At 32.7% G+C, this 15930-nt stretch overlaps 1 protein-coding gene across 2 annotated transcripts in view; it reads right to left on the bottom strand.

The window, feature by feature from the left end:
- Positions 1 to 6949: 6949 nt before the first annotated feature.
- Positions 6950 to 15930, bottom strand: part of UBE2D1 (ubiquitin conjugating enzyme E2 D1) — a 35743-nt gene continuing 26762 nt past the window's right edge. For both annotated transcript variants that reach the window (NM_003338.5, NM_001204880.2), the window contains 4 exons: positions 14012 to 14089; positions 12822 to 12927; positions 9682 to 9775; positions 6950 to 8978 (listed from right to left, as the gene is read on the bottom strand). In NM_003338.5, the coding sequence (NP_003329.1) occupies positions 8933 to 8978; positions 9682 to 9775; positions 12822 to 12927; positions 14012 to 14089 (324 nt within the window). In that variant the 3' untranslated portion in view covers positions 6950 to 8932. The remainder of the gene's footprint in view (positions 8979 to 9681; positions 9776 to 12821; positions 12928 to 14011; positions 14090 to 15930) is intronic.

Genomic DNA, 15930 nt, shown 5'->3' with positions numbered 1-15930 from the left:
ATATGGACAAAAAATAAAACAATTTAGGAACTCATCAAAAAACTAAAATATGTTTAAAAAATCAAATGGTAACTTAGAACTGAAAAATAAACCTGGAATTAACCATAATGTCTGAAATGGAGTTGATGGGTTTAAAAGCATATTGAAAAAGCAGGAGATAGGATTAATGAACTGGAAAAAAGGTCAATACAAAACTGATGCACAGAAGGACAAAGAGGGGAAAAAAGGAAAACACGGAAAATAGGTTTGAAAACATGTTGGATACAGTCAAAAGATCAAATATATATTTTTTATACTGGGGCCCTAAAGGGGAGAAATAGAATGGGGCAGAAGCAATATTCCATAAAATAATGGCTGAGATTTTCTAGAACTGATGAAAATATATCAACCCACAGATTCAAGAAGCTCTGTGAACCTCAAGCAGGATAAAGACAAAGAAAACTACACCTCGTAACACCGTCATAAAACTGCTAAAAATAAAAAAGATAATCTTAAAAGCAGTCAGAGAAAATAGGCATATTACTTTTAAAAAGGCAGTAAGACTAATAAGGCCAGGCGCGGTGGCTCACACCTGTAATCCCAGCACTTTGGGAGGCCAAGGCAGGTGGATCACGAGGTCAGGAGTTTGAGAACAGCCTGGCCAATATGGTGAAACCCCTTCTCTATTAAAAATACGAAAATTAGCCAGGTGTGGTGGCAGGCACCTGTAATCCCCAGCTACTCAGGCGGCTGAGGCAGAAGAATTGCTTGAACCCGGGAGGCAGAGGTTGCAGTGAGCCGATATCACACTACTACACTCCAGCCTGGGTAACAGAGCAAGACTCCGTCTCAAAAAAAAAAAAAAAAGACTAATAATAGCTGACCTTTCAATAAATTATGGAATCCAGAACACAATGGAATGACATCTTTAAATTGCTGAAAAGAAAATACCCATCCAGAATTCTATTCCCAGTAAAAATATCCTGTAAAAATGAAGGCAAAATAAAAACATTTCAGAAAAGCAAAACCAAGCGAGTATTTGTCACCAGAAGATGTACACTAAACAAAATTCTAAACGGAGTTGTTTAGTTAAAAGGTAAATGATCCCATATGGAAACAGGAAAGCAATGAATACTGGAAAAAGTAAAATCGGAGGTAGGTATAATGATACTGACATACAAAACATCAGTGTCTTGTGGAATTTCACATATATGTCAAATTAAAATACATGACAATAATAATACAGCAAAGGTGGGAAAGAGACAATGGAATCCAGGTGGTCTAAAGTTTTCACATTATAGGGAAAAATGGTACAAGCAATAATTCATATTAAACTATAATCAGAGATAGATCTTTTAATTTAGAGTAATCACATGCACAAAGAATGTCTAACAAGTTATCAGAGGGAAAGAAAATGATACTGTTATAAAAACTGAAAAACCCAAAAGAAGGAAAAAAGAAAGGTGAAAAAAATAAAACATGGTTAAGAAGAAAAAAAAACAAAAATGGGAACACAGTTGGTATAAACCCAACTATATCAGTAATTCCTTTAAATGCAAAAGAATGAAATTCTCTAATTGAAATACTAACATGGTCAGATTAGATAAAAACCAAATTAAATAGAACCCAACTTTGAAATGAGTACTGGAGACACACATTTAAAAAGGGACACAGAAAGATCAAAAATTAAAGAATAGAAAAAGATATACACTGCAAATACTAGCCAAAAGAAACCATACTAATATTAGATAAAGTGGAGTTTAAGGCAAAAGCATTAATACAGATAGAGACATTTCTTAATGTGATATCACAATTTTATGTGTGTGTGTAAGAGAGAGTATCCAAGAATATGATTTCAAAATATATAAGGCAAAAATAAAACAGACAATTTCACAATCATAATGGGAAACTTTTTAACGTATCTCCCTTAATGGCTGTGAGAACAAGCAAATAAAAATTATAAACACAATTAACAAACTTGATCTAATTAGCACATATAAACACTGAATCTAATAATAACAATCCATATTATTTTCAAATGTATATGATACATTTATCATAATTTCCATATGCTGGGCCATGAAGCAAGCTTCAGCAAATTTCAAAGAATTGAAACTATTCATATTATGTTTTCTGGCCATGGAGAAATTAAGCTAGAAATCAATAGCAAAAATTTAACTTAAAAAAAAAAAGCCCAATTGCCTGGAAATAAAACAATGTATCCTTATATATAACTCATAAGTGAATAAAAAAATCCAAACAAGAATTAGAAAATATTTTTAACTGAATGACAATGTAGATACGATATTTCGAAACTTGTAGGATGTAGCTAAAGTGGTACTTAGGGGTAAACATATAGTTTTAAATACATATATTAGAAAAGAAGGAAGGTTTTTAAAAATTATGTTTCAACCTCAAGAAGCTACAAAAAATGAATCAAAATCAAAAACTAAAGAAAACATAAATAATATAAATCAATGAAACAGAAAACAAATGTACAAAAGAAATTTTAAAAAATAAAATACTGATTCTCTGAAAGATTAATAAAGTTGATAGTCTTCTAGCAAGACTCACCAAGGAAAAAAATTGTGAGGAGATATGTATGACTGCAGATACATATTACCTTCAAAAAGACGAGGATATCATGAACAACTCTATGCCAAATAGATCAACGATTTAGATAAAATGCAGAAATTCCTTGAAAAACACAAAACTGAGTAATAAAAATATATCTAGTCCATATATAAGATATAATTTATTATTAAAATCTTCCCATAACCACCACCACAACAAAAAAACTCTAGACATGATGCCTTCAGAATATTCTTCAAAGTATTTAAGGAAAAAATAGCACAAATCTTCTACAAACTCTTCCAGAGAACAAAGGAAATGTTTCTTCACTGTTTTTATGAGCCCAGCATAACCTGAGGTATGAAATTGACAACAATATTCAATAAAGGAAATTATGGACCAACTCGTCCCATGAACACAGTTGCAAAAATCCTCAAAAAAATTTGCAGATAGAATCTAGTGGTTTGTAAGGAAGATAAATACATCTCAAAGTGGGTTTCTATCCAGAAATGTAAGGATAATTTAACAGGTGAACATCAGTTAGTGTAGTTCATCACACTACATTAATCAAAGAAAAGGATAAAAATCACAATAATCTTGATAAATGAAGAAAAAGCATTAAATTCAACTTGTAACTCAATAGTAATAAAAATGCTTTAAGAACTAGGAATAGAAAACTTCCTTGATATGAAAGGAACACCATTGTTAATACTGACATGTAAGAGCTTTCCCTTGGAAATCAAGAAAGGATGTTTGCTATTACTATTTCTATTCAGCATGATATTGGAGCTCAGGCTAATGCAACAAAGGGCAAAAAAAAGAAATGTGGCATAAAGATTTGAATAAAATCATCTCTATCTGCAGCTGACATGATTATAAGTAAGTATAGAAAACTAAAACTTTAGAATTGTACAAACTTTTAAAAAGTAAATTTAGCAAGGTTGCAGGATATAAGATGAATATAAATTGCTTTTCTATAAATAATATATAAATATGAAATGAAATGAAAAATAATTTTATAATAGGTTTTAAAAACTTGATACATAGGAATGAATCCAGTGAAAAACGTGCAAGACCTCTACACAGAGAATTACAAAACAATTAAAACAATTACCCTATAAAACAATGACAATTAGAAATTAAAGACCACCTAAGTACATTGAGTGATTCATGTACATTGGAAAGACTAGTCAGTAAGACATATTAGTGACCCCAAATTGTTTCCCAAGGAAAAGTAAGGGTCTATGTCCACTTTCCTTGAATTTGAGTGAGCTTGTGACTGTTTCATCCAATGAACTACACAATCTCTGACTTCAAAAGCTAGATCACTTAAAAAGGCAGCTTACTCCTCATTCTCTTGGAACACTTATCTCCAACTGCTCCCTCTTGGAAGTGGGCAGCCATCTTGTGCAAAGATCAAACCACATAGAAAGGCCATTAATAAGTGACCTAGAATATAATACCTGTCCTGGTGCCAACGTATGAGTGGAGAAACCTCCAAATGCTTCCAGCCTCAAGCCATCTGAGTCATCCTGAGCCAAGAACCTAAGTACAGGGGAGTAGACAAGCTATCCCTCCCGTGCCTCAGCCCAATTCTTGACCCAACAGAATCCATGCGCATAAAGAAATGGTTGTTCTTTGACACTACTTAGCTTGGGGTGGTTTGTTGTTCAGCAGTAGATAACCAGAACAAAAAATGTCAACTTTACCAAAATTGCTCTACAGATTCAATAAATCCCAATTAAATCTCAGGACAAATGGCAAATCTTACCCTAAAATACATACGGAATTACAAGGGGCCTGAATAGTCAAAACAGTACTGTGAAAGAACAGAGTTGGAGGGCACACACTTCCCCATTTCAAAAGCTACTACAAAGTTACAGTAAGCAAAACAGTGTCATACTGGGATAAGGCATATTGATTGATGGAATGGAACTGAGAGACCAGAAATAAACCTCTATGGTCAGTTGGTTTCCAACAAGGGTACTAAGGCCATTCAAAGGGAAAGAATAGTTTTTTTAACAAATTATACAGGCCTGATCTTTAGAATGGCCTGTTTACAAGGTTTGCCCTTGGCTGACATCTAGAAACCTGGCTTCTGAAACCATCCCTGAGTGATAAGATGTGCTTGCTGTGCTAGCCTGACTAGACTTCTTAAATAAACAATGTGATTTATGGTGAACACCTGCTTTCCTTCTAGAAGACTAGAATTTTGGAAAACAAAGGATGCTTATGTGATTAGCCCCCAATAAAAACCCTGGACTTTGCGTTTCACACTAGCATCCTAGGGCAGAAACACTATGCCCATGCTACTACTAGAGGAAGGCTTCACTCTTGTGGCCCCTTCAGGGAGAGCACAGGGAGCCTGCACGTGGATTCCTCCAGACTGCCTGGTCTGTCTTTCCCCCTTACTGCCCCCACTGTGTATCCTTGCCAGGTGGCTGTAATAAATCTTAACTGTTGAGTATGATGGTATGTTGGGTCCTGTGCATTCTTCTATCCACACGTTGAATGTGTGGGACTGCCAAAACAAGTGTACCAAAAGTGCTAACACAAGTGGTATCACAACTGTTCCCACAATATGTATATTAAGAGTTTATACTGAAATATTTCATATGCAATTCATGGTGATCTTTTGCACTCAAGAGATCTTAACAGTTTTTCCTGCCAAGTAAATTATATGAGGAAAGCAGAGTTCAGACCTTCAGCATATGCCAGTATAATAAAAGCAACCTCCTCTGAGAGAAGAAAGGCACATCTCTCCCTCGACAACAGTAGGACCTAAGAGAGTGCTAACCAAGTTTTTAGAGAAATGTTTCTTATTACATAAAATGCCCCCCAATACTAATACTCTCAGGTGAATTTTCTCTCTTCCTATTAGTTCAGTTCATTTACAATTTAAAGCCACATTCTTATATAACAGGATAATGGGAGCAGAATTGTAAATGTAACAAAATACAAATAAGGATATAACATCTATTAGGCTGTCACCAGGACACTATCAGCCGTCTACAAATTTTCAGTTATCACCACTACTGAAAAAAACTAGGGAAAACATATTAATTACACAGTTTAAGAAGAGCTTACAGACACATTACTCAGTTCAAAAACAGAGAGAGTAGAAATGACTAGTTATCTACCTATAAGAACTTTTGTAAGTGAAATTAGATGAGACTCTACCTGCTGCCCTATTTGTGCAACACAACCATCAGAATAAAAGAGAAGCATTATAAGACCTTTCATAAATAATCTGCATTACATTTTACAGCTATTAAATTGTGATTAAGCCTCTGCTTTAAAGAAAAAAAAATTGTGAAAATCCTACTTTACAGCTGAAAAGTGATAAAACTAATTTTTTAAAAATCAGATTTTTTATTGTAGTAATAATCACTTAAAAGACTGAAACAAACAAAGATAAACAGTACTTTCAACAATCTGAATACAATGAAGCTCTGTTTTTATGGCCATGGCTAAAGCACTGATCACATTTTTCATGGCTGGTCCTAAGAAGATAGAGTAACAGGACTGATGATTCTACTGCAGAGCTCAAATTTTAAAGCATTATCAACTGGGCTGGGCTTTTGTACAGTTCAAAATGACTACCAATAAACAGACATGATATAGTTTCATGACCAATAATTTCTTTTAATTTGGGAGGAAAATTAATTTCCTTAATCTCTCCATTTAAAAAATACAGAACTGTGGGAGAGCAGGATCTTGACAAACATCAATGACTGAATCATTAGATAGATCACTGTGATAAATAAGAAAAATTTAAAACTGCAATGTATTATTTTTTTCTTATGAAAAGTAACTTTTGAACGTTAACTCTTAGAGTTGTCCTTGATATGCAGTTCATTTATAATTTTTAATTTTCCCTATCAGCGTTTAAAAGGGGTGAAACAGGGAAATAATGCAAAAATTAATAAATAAGGTTGACGGAGGCATATATGTAAAGCTTGTACTTCAGGAATTGTACGCTTTTGAGATAGTTGGAGGATGGTGGTGAGGCTGCCCCTTACAACCCATGTCACTGATGTGGGTAACTGCTGTATATGGCAGTTATAAGCGTTCAGAATCCAATTTGAACATGGTTTTCAACTATGCAACTTCAAGAAGTGGGATCCTAAATCCCCAAAAGACTACCTATTTCTCTCACTCCAAGGAAGTCCTTAAATTAATGCTTAATCCACAAAAGGCCCTGACTTTTATTCTACAGTTTTAAAAGGTAACTGATGTTCTCCTTGTTAGAGTTAAGCAAAAATAATATACCCAAAATGGTGTTCTGACCGATCATGACGCCACTATGGAACTCAAGGTTTTTAGCTAATTATGAGAACTTCTGCTTACTCCTCAAGTCCAGTACAATCCAGATGTAAGCAAAGGCAAACAAGTTAGGCAAGTTTCAAAAACTTTAATAAAGAAAAAAAAGAAGACACTTCCAAAAATAAATGCCACACAAATGAAAGTTGTTTTTTTTTTTTGTTTAAAGTGAAGATATTCAAGAAACAAAACCCTTTACTATCAAAATATACTAAATATTTAAATCTAGTGATGTTGAGTGTTCAAATTCAGGGCAAATGTAGCTTATAATAATATAGCTAAGTAGAATTTTTCATGATATGGCTGTTTTAAGACATCATTTTATAGATTTACTTTTTAAGCCTATATTTTCTTAAACATCCATTTCACAATTCATTTAATTATTTTACATTCATTTATAAAAACACATATTTTCTAACAATAGGTTATTTTGTGCTTTAATAATAATGAACCATGACAAAATACTCAAGTGATTTAAATGCTTTGCTAATGACTACACCCATCACATATTCTTACATACTTCTACAGCTACTGCAATAATCAGAAGGGCTACAACTGTTCTTAAAAATGACACTCACTCAAGGTTGACAAGCATGCTAAACATTAAAGAGATGTATTTTTCCCCAAGTTAAAACATTAAAACTTTCTAGTTTTCTTTAAAATCTATAAAGATAACCTGCTTATTTAAATCACTTTTCGATGGCAACTTATAAAAACAGAGGGAGGCATAATTTTAGAACTTCCTTTGTAACTTCTATAGTAAAAAAAAAAAAAAAGTTTTTCAAATTGTGATGGCATTAAATTCCATTTTAGAAATTCTAGATTTTAAAATGTTAAGAAATGTAATGTCAATTACATCAGGGTGGGGGCATTTTAATGAATTAATCTAGTGACTGTGCAGGTCTATAAAGACCTTTCTTTTGGATGGGTGATACTGCCTTATACTCATTTCAGTACTTTTAACAAATAATCCATTTAGATATAATCCAAGACAAACCCCAAATTACTCTAAATTCTCCTCTACAGCAAGGGATCAACATATATTATCTTATAGACTGACAATTTAGTAAAGAGATACTAACCTAAAACAATAAAATTTATATAACTAATGGTGACTAATGGCAAACAAAATAGATCTGATTTTCACAATTTGGATGTAATTTTCATGCAAAATTTTAGAGTTTTGATCCTTACTTATATTTTTATTTTTTTAAGTAATCAAGACAAATAGTAGAAAAAGCATTTTATTTATATGGAAAAAGCTACAGTAAGATCTGTAAAAGGTGTCAATATAATATTGCCTATACAGGAAAAAATTCAAATGTGAATAGCAACAAATAAAAGTTACACATCTTCCTACTTAGCAGTGCAATTAATTCACATTGCAATAAAGTTAAGTCAAGTATAACAAAATCAAAACAAGTGTTTCTCCATAATCAGTATGCTGAGAATTACAGTGTAAAGATCATTTCAGATTTAAGAAATCTGCAATCAATCTACAGAATATCCTAAGACAAGGGAGACACAGTTAATTCACTTAATTATCAGCCGTTGGGGTTTTTCAATACTGTTCACAGGAAAAAAGTAATGAGTTGACATACATGTAAATAGAATATATTTAGTCTATACAGTAAAAAAATACAAATTATAAAGTGAGCTAACAAAGAATGAAATCTGAATACAGATTTATAAAACTGACATCTTAGACAACACATACAGTATTTCTCATGTAAAAACATCTAGTTTCAGCAAAAAATAATTTGGTTGCTTTTCAGCTGCATTGTAGATCTTGTAAGCTGAAGATGCAGATGTCCAAGTATCTTAAAAACCATAATAAATGTCTTTCTCAATGCATACAAAATGATAAATGCTCTCATCACAGTCTTAAGGGTATTTTTGGAAGTTTGTTTTGTCTTGCTTCAGAAACACATTTAAAATGGGTAAAAATCAAATGGTTTCATGGTACAATGAAACAGTAAACAGTGCTCAATTTACTGCTAATGTTGAAAAAAACCTAGATTTTACAGTACTCTGGTATATATGAAAATGTTTTTGATTTTTACATTGCATATTTCTGAGTCCATTCTCTTGCATGTCTGTTGTATCTGTAGATACACAAAAAGGATATAGTAAAAACATACAAAATTAATATTTCAGAAGCATCTGTCTAATAAAACTATATATTCTACCTTCTTATACTTAATTGCAATAATCACACATATATCAATTACTGGGTCAATGTGACTTAGGTTCATGCAGAAATAAAACAGGAAAAATAATTTTTTAACTCATGGATTTCTCTGCAACCTATATGAAAATGTATCCAAATACACAAAAATCAAAATGCAGAAACCAGCTTCTAACAGAAATTTACAAAAGCCAATCCTGAAGGAGCATTATCTACAAATTGCAAATGAACCTACAGTACTAGCAAGATGAAGCAGCTTGAGAATTAGGTCAGTTTGGATGGGTACGAGAGAACTCCTCTTCCTTGGAGAAGATAAGCAATATATATTTAATACTTTCCAATGATTAAATTCTTTCATTTTTAATTTATCACCTAGAATATATACATCTATTTTTCAAATACAGAGTATATACTATTGAACAGTAAGTGGGAAGGAACAAGATTTATCATAAAAGGTCTAACAGAGTTCTCAAAGAAAGGTTTACTCCATTGGAAAAAGATAAACAATATACATATAACAACCATAATCAAATTGACTTAAAACATATTGATAATATTCGTGTTTTGGCATACTATATAGGAATGTATCCATACAGAAACTAAAATAAGTAAACACTTACTTTTCTTTGTCTGATTTATAGATTTGTGCAATATCTGGTACTAAGGGGTCATCTGGATTAGGATCACAAAGTAGAGAACATATGGACAATAAAACTAGATTTAAAAGAGAACATCACATTAGACAATAACCCTTCTACTTCATACAAATTACATATGTGAAAATAATTTTAGTGAATATAGATACTGTACTTATAAAAAAAACATAAAATGAACACATCAAATTATATTTTATTCTACTTTGGTTGATAGCAAATTGATCTTTAATTTTTAAAGTTATAAAATTACCATAGGATGCATAAAATATAAAATTATTTTAGCTTTTGAAGTTTTAAATTCCGAGTTCCCATTTATTTAAAAAAATGTGACCCTCCAAAGTAGCTATTAACAACCTTTAAACTTGAGAGTTCTCTACAGAACAATCAAATTACAGTTAACAGTCCAAACCATTTTGGATACTGTGCTCATACACTCTTTTGCTTTGGCTTAGAGCTATAGTCTGTCTACAAAGAAGAAAAATTTGTAAAATTTTTTTCAATGAATCTTTACTTAATGTAGTTTATTTGTATTGCATGCATTTAAAAATAATGTGAACAGCTATCTTTATATAGCTTGCATATTTTAAAAAAGAAATGAAAATTGAAAAAGTAGTTGTTACTCCAGTATGTCAAAATTCTAATGCAAATAGCTACACTAACACACACACACACACACACTAACGATCTAAGTATCTGAAATAAGAGGGAACAAGGACTCTGGTTCCTCATTTGTCTGCTTCAATTGCATGCCACCACTTCTGAGGAGGTTCATGGAACCTCTGGACCAACCTCCCATTTCCACTTGCACCCACCCCACTGCGTTTCCTTTCTATTTTCGTACTCTTTCAAGTCCAAAGGTGGATTTATAGAGCAGAGTTGACTCTTACAATGACAGGCAAAGGGTGGGGGGGTGTTATGAACTAAAGAAAAAATTAGTATTTTATTCATCTTTCTTATCTTCTATCTGCCCAATGAAACTTAAAAGCCTTGTATATTAAACCAACAGGGCAGATTTTCAGGGCTAACTTACAGCCCCAGAATGCTTCCAGACTAACCTCATGATAAAAAGCAAAAGAAGACATTTAAAATATGGAAAAGCTCCAGGCAATGGTGGTATGTGCCTATAATGCCAGCTACTTGGGAGGCTGAGGTGGAAGAATCCTTGAGCTTAGGAGTTCGAGACCAGCCTGGGCAACACAGCAACTGCATCTCAAAAAATAAAAAAATAAAAATAATAAGCTGGGCAAGGTTGCTCACACCTATAATCCCAGCACTTTGGGAGACCAAGGCAGGAGGATCACTTGAGGCCAGGAGTTTGAGACCAGCCTGGGCAACACAGCAAGACTCTGTCTATATTTAATTAAAAAACAATCTTTTAAGATAAACAAATTAAAAATTTAAAAAAATATAGCAAAGTAAAAAATATACAAACAAATGAGCAAGGTATGATCTATCTTATAAAAAAGTAAGCAAGAAGGAAGTTCCTCCTCTGCTCACCCCTACTGCCAGGAGCCATTTGCCCCAGTTTCACTATCATGCACACAAACCATGTCTATCCTTTAAGGTAAGGAAAAGGGTAACAGTTAACATTCATGTAAGTGCCCACTATGTGCTAGGTACATAGCAACCCTGTATGGTAACACTATAAGAATCCCCATTTTACTTATAAGGAAACTGAGGCTGTTTCATTTCTCACAGGATGGTTTCCAGAATCTAACACTACTGATTCTTTATAAAAGGCTACCAATGTCAGAATATAAGTACTCAATATCTGGCAGTTTGCCATTTCTTTTATATGTATAAGGACTTGGCAGTTTATATGCCAAGTGAGATCCATTTTGTGACACCATTCCAGGAAACAGCGTATGAACTTGAATTAACCCTTCAACACAGAATCTTTCATATATCTAATGCATGACAGTTACACTGTGTGAAAGATTCTTAAAAGAATATGAGAATCTATATGAATACTGTAGATGAGCATCTTAGGTCAGAAAAACTATCGTTCATAAATAATTGAACTGAAAGAGCTATTATTTATCTAATATTTGAAAGAGCTACGGCTGTGGACCCTGCTTCCTATAAACCTTATTACTTTTAAAAACATGCTGTATATTCAAGTAGCAATTATTAAAAATAAAAAATGAGTACAGATTGCTTCCATAAATCCCTTCAAGAGAAACATTTTCTTCAATTTTATAAAAACGGAAAACTTGATGGTTGCTTCAGTGCAGCTACTTCTAACCTAAACAGTATTTTCCAACTGTCAGGTTCTCTTCTTTCAGAGAAACAAGACATAAATTAAGAGTGCTAGCACAGTAAGTAGCAGTGGCTAATGAAATAAAATGGCTTGAGATGCCTATGTATACACCTGATAATCCAGCAAAGAACAGCTATACCCCTGTAAAAGTTGAGAATCAGCACAGATCTTGTGTCAGTCACTATAATGATGCTACTGATTATTCGAAGTTTAGACTAACATGCTATATGTACTGCATTATCCTACAGTGTGAAATGTCTTTCATCTTAAATCATTTATCAATCAAATCTGGTATTTTATTCTTGGATGAAGTAAAACAGCTGTAAAGCTTTATTATTGTCAACATTTCCATTTAATGAATGGGACAACCAGTCCCAAAATCTTCCTTTTACTATCTCTTATTCTCTCTCTTCTTTTGCAGAGATGGGGTCTCCTATGTTGCCCAGGCCGGTCTCGAACTCGGGCTCAAGCAATCCTCCACTTCAGCCTTCCAAAGTGTTAGAATAACAGGCATGAGCCACAGTGCCCGGGCACTCTCTCTTTTTTAAAAGACAACACCCAAGCTAAAAGGATAAAATATCAATAGGTTTATCCCCAAATTTCTAGCTCTGATATTTTAAGGTTTTTTCTCATTTCATCATTTAGATTTGTCCATCCACACTCCCCTCAACCAAAGCTAACTGCCAAAAGCCATAGTAACATAAGAGCAAAGAGAGCAAAACAAAATCAAAACAGGAGAAAGCACAGTTGATTGTTGTTTTAAAACTTTAGTCCATAGGTAATTCTGCTGTATTTTTCCTGTCTCACTGTTATCAACTGTTTCAAACCTGATCAATGAAATTACCTTTTGATACAGTCAGAGCTGGTGACCATTGTGACCTCAGAATATCGAGACAAATACTTCCATTACTGTTTATGTTTGGATGGTAAATTTTTGTTGTGAAAGCAATCTAAACATAAAACAAAACAACAAAATATGACAATCACCTTTGAATCAACTATGAATAAAACAGAACCAATTTGCTCTAGGGTAAAATATCCTCAACTTTACATAACTTTAGAGGAGAAAAGTCATCAACACAAATCAAATAATTATCTACTTTGTGCTACACACAGTTCTAGCTAGTGAGAATGTGAACACAAACAAGTCAGCTTCCTTCTTTTGCCCTCAAAGGAACTGAAGAGTATTTTGGACAGTGTAATAAATAAGTCTCTAGTAGCCGGTATGACTGGTTGAGCAGCATCTAAAGTAATTAACCATGGCTTCCATCATATGTAGAAGTAATCCTTTTCTTAATTTGATTATTGGTGATACCTGGAAGTAACATTTGGATCTAAAACCAGGGTGCTGACGCTGTTTCAGGGCAAAGTTGAGGCGTCTCAGCTAAGAAATCCATTAAGAATCCTAATTTTCCACAAGAGTTGTCATACCATTTCATAAATACAATGTTAATCTGTTTTTAACTATTTAAAATAATTATATCCTGAGTGACAAAATCTGCCCACTTTTCCCCTCCCTGATATCCCCATCATTTGTTTCCTCTTTAGAGCAAATCTAAATCTAACATGTGTTTCTCTCTCCTACCATACTAAATTAAGGGACTGCTTCATATTTACTTTCGGATTCCCCAGTGTAGAAGAACACAGTAGGTACTCGGTGAATGTTTATTGAATACTTAAAAAAAAAAAACAGAGAAAGAATGATCAACTTTGTAAGGATAATCCCATGAATAGAAAAGTCTGACTCTTAATCATAAAAACGTCCCAAACTACACATATCCAATAAGAAGGAAAAGAAAAGCAAGGAATTTAATTTATAGCATGACACGTACTGACTTTTGTTTTATAGACTTAATACAGTATTTCAATAAGAAATCAGATTTTAGATTCAGTAGTTTTTACAAAACAGTTTGAAAATGCTAACCTCCCCACAGTCTTTGACATATCAAATGAGCTCTAGATAATCAAATGAGCTCTAGATAAAGAATAAAATCTCTTACATGGGAGTCACATCAATCATAAAAATAAAAATACCTTTGGTGGTTTAAAAGGATAATCTGTCGGAAAATGTACAGTGAGAAAGAAGACTCCACCTTGATATGCGCTATCAGGCTGAAATTACAAAAGATTTGCATCAGCATTTGATTACTATATTTATTTATAACAACAAAATTATTTCCCCCAAATATTATCAGTTTGAAAAAAATGCCATCATGTTTAAAATAATTTCATTAAATATTACCAATATGAAAAAAATGCAACCATTTTGTCATAAGTTCAAATCATTTACTTTGAGAACAGGTTTCTCTGCAGGTACGAAGGAGGATTTTCCAACAACTATGCCGACATCATAAAATTTAAAACAAAACAAAAACAGGACACACACAGTGCTGTGACTTGTCCAAACAAATCTGGTTATGAGTACAAATTGTTAAAGATCAGTATACACACGACTGCTGTGGGAAAAGATCATTTTCTGCAGCCGTAATCAGTATTTTTTTTGAAAAAGGGTTGAGGATAGTAAAACTTAAGTTCTGATGTTCACTTGATGACCAAGAATGGAGATGAACTGAAGAGGCTGTCGTGAAAAGAAAATGCTAAGGACCCTGCTACACAATTTATGTGCCAAATCTTCGTTTAGTAATTATTTATAAAATAATGTAGAGAACCCAAAAAAATCCAAAACAAAATTATATATTCATGCTACTATCAAATTGGGAATCAACTTTACTAGAGAAATTTAAATTTGACCATGTTTCTTTATAGCCATTAGAAAATATAACATTACAAGCAAAAAAATTTTAAAAAAAGAAAATGCTAGCAAACTATACCTACAATTCTATTTTAATTCTTTCATATTTAATTAAATATATCATGTTATATTAGCATTCTGGTAATAACACCAAGACTCATTACTTTCTCGTTAAGTTTCCACATATATGCTAGAGGATTTTCCTGTATAATAATTCTTACTATATATATTGTTTAAACAATTCTAGTTTATCAAAAATTGTAAGAAATATAGAAAATGAAGATAAATTACAATGACAGATATGGTCCAGAGTACTGTAAATATTTACATTACTAAAGTAAGGGAGTTATGAATAACATGATTATAACCATTTGTTACATGTGATTCACCTAAAAAATATTTGTGAAAGGCCATAATTCAAAAGGTAAGGGTGGGCCTTTAAATGAGAGTATTTTGAAGGTTCTTAGTAACTAATTAAAAACAAACAGAAATAAATGGATTCTTATTGAAAGTTGTTATATAAATACATTGTATTTTGCCTTTTTAGAAAAACAAACTTAATAAAACAATAATTTGAGACAACTGCCCAGAGTACTGCTTTGAAATTCAGTAGTTTTGGTGTTTTTTAAAGTTAAACACAAGGTCGTATGATTAAAAACTCTGTAACTCACTAGATAAAGCTCTTTCAGGGCAGGGAGAAGAGAATGGTGTTCATGGAAACATGTTACTTATGTACTCTCACCCAGAAAGTAGATTTGAGCTGTCAGTGCTCATTCTTATGCAATCAGATTTTTTGCTCATAGAAAGAAAAAGCCTGTTTCAAGTCTTGTAACTGCCTCTAAAGTATTGAAAGAAATAATTTTAACAAAAGTAATAAGTATTGAGAGTAGCCAATTATCAAACAGCAGATAATTTTGTGTTTAGGACAATGCAACAAAATTAAAAGCAGCAAATTTATAAGGAGGTAAAGACAGACCCATTGTAATATTTTATTGATTCTCTTTCACAAAAAAGAACAGTGATGAAACTTATGGCAAACTGACACTTGTTACTTGTAGGAATTCAATTATTGGCTTCATTAGACTAATTTCTAACCTACCAAAACTGTGGATGTGAGAATGATTATGGTTAATTACAACTAACTCTCTGTGACTTAAAAAAAAAAAAAAAAAAGATAAACACACAGCCTGGTTGCGAGCTG

This window comes from Homo sapiens, chromosome 10, assembly GCF_000001405.40.
Source record: "Homo sapiens chromosome 10, GRCh38.p14 Primary Assembly".
Lineage (NCBI taxonomy): Eukaryota > Metazoa > Chordata > Mammalia > Primates > Hominidae > Homo > Homo sapiens.
The sequence above is the reverse complement of the archived record's forward strand: the minus strand, read 5'-3'. Positions and strand labels throughout refer to the sequence as shown.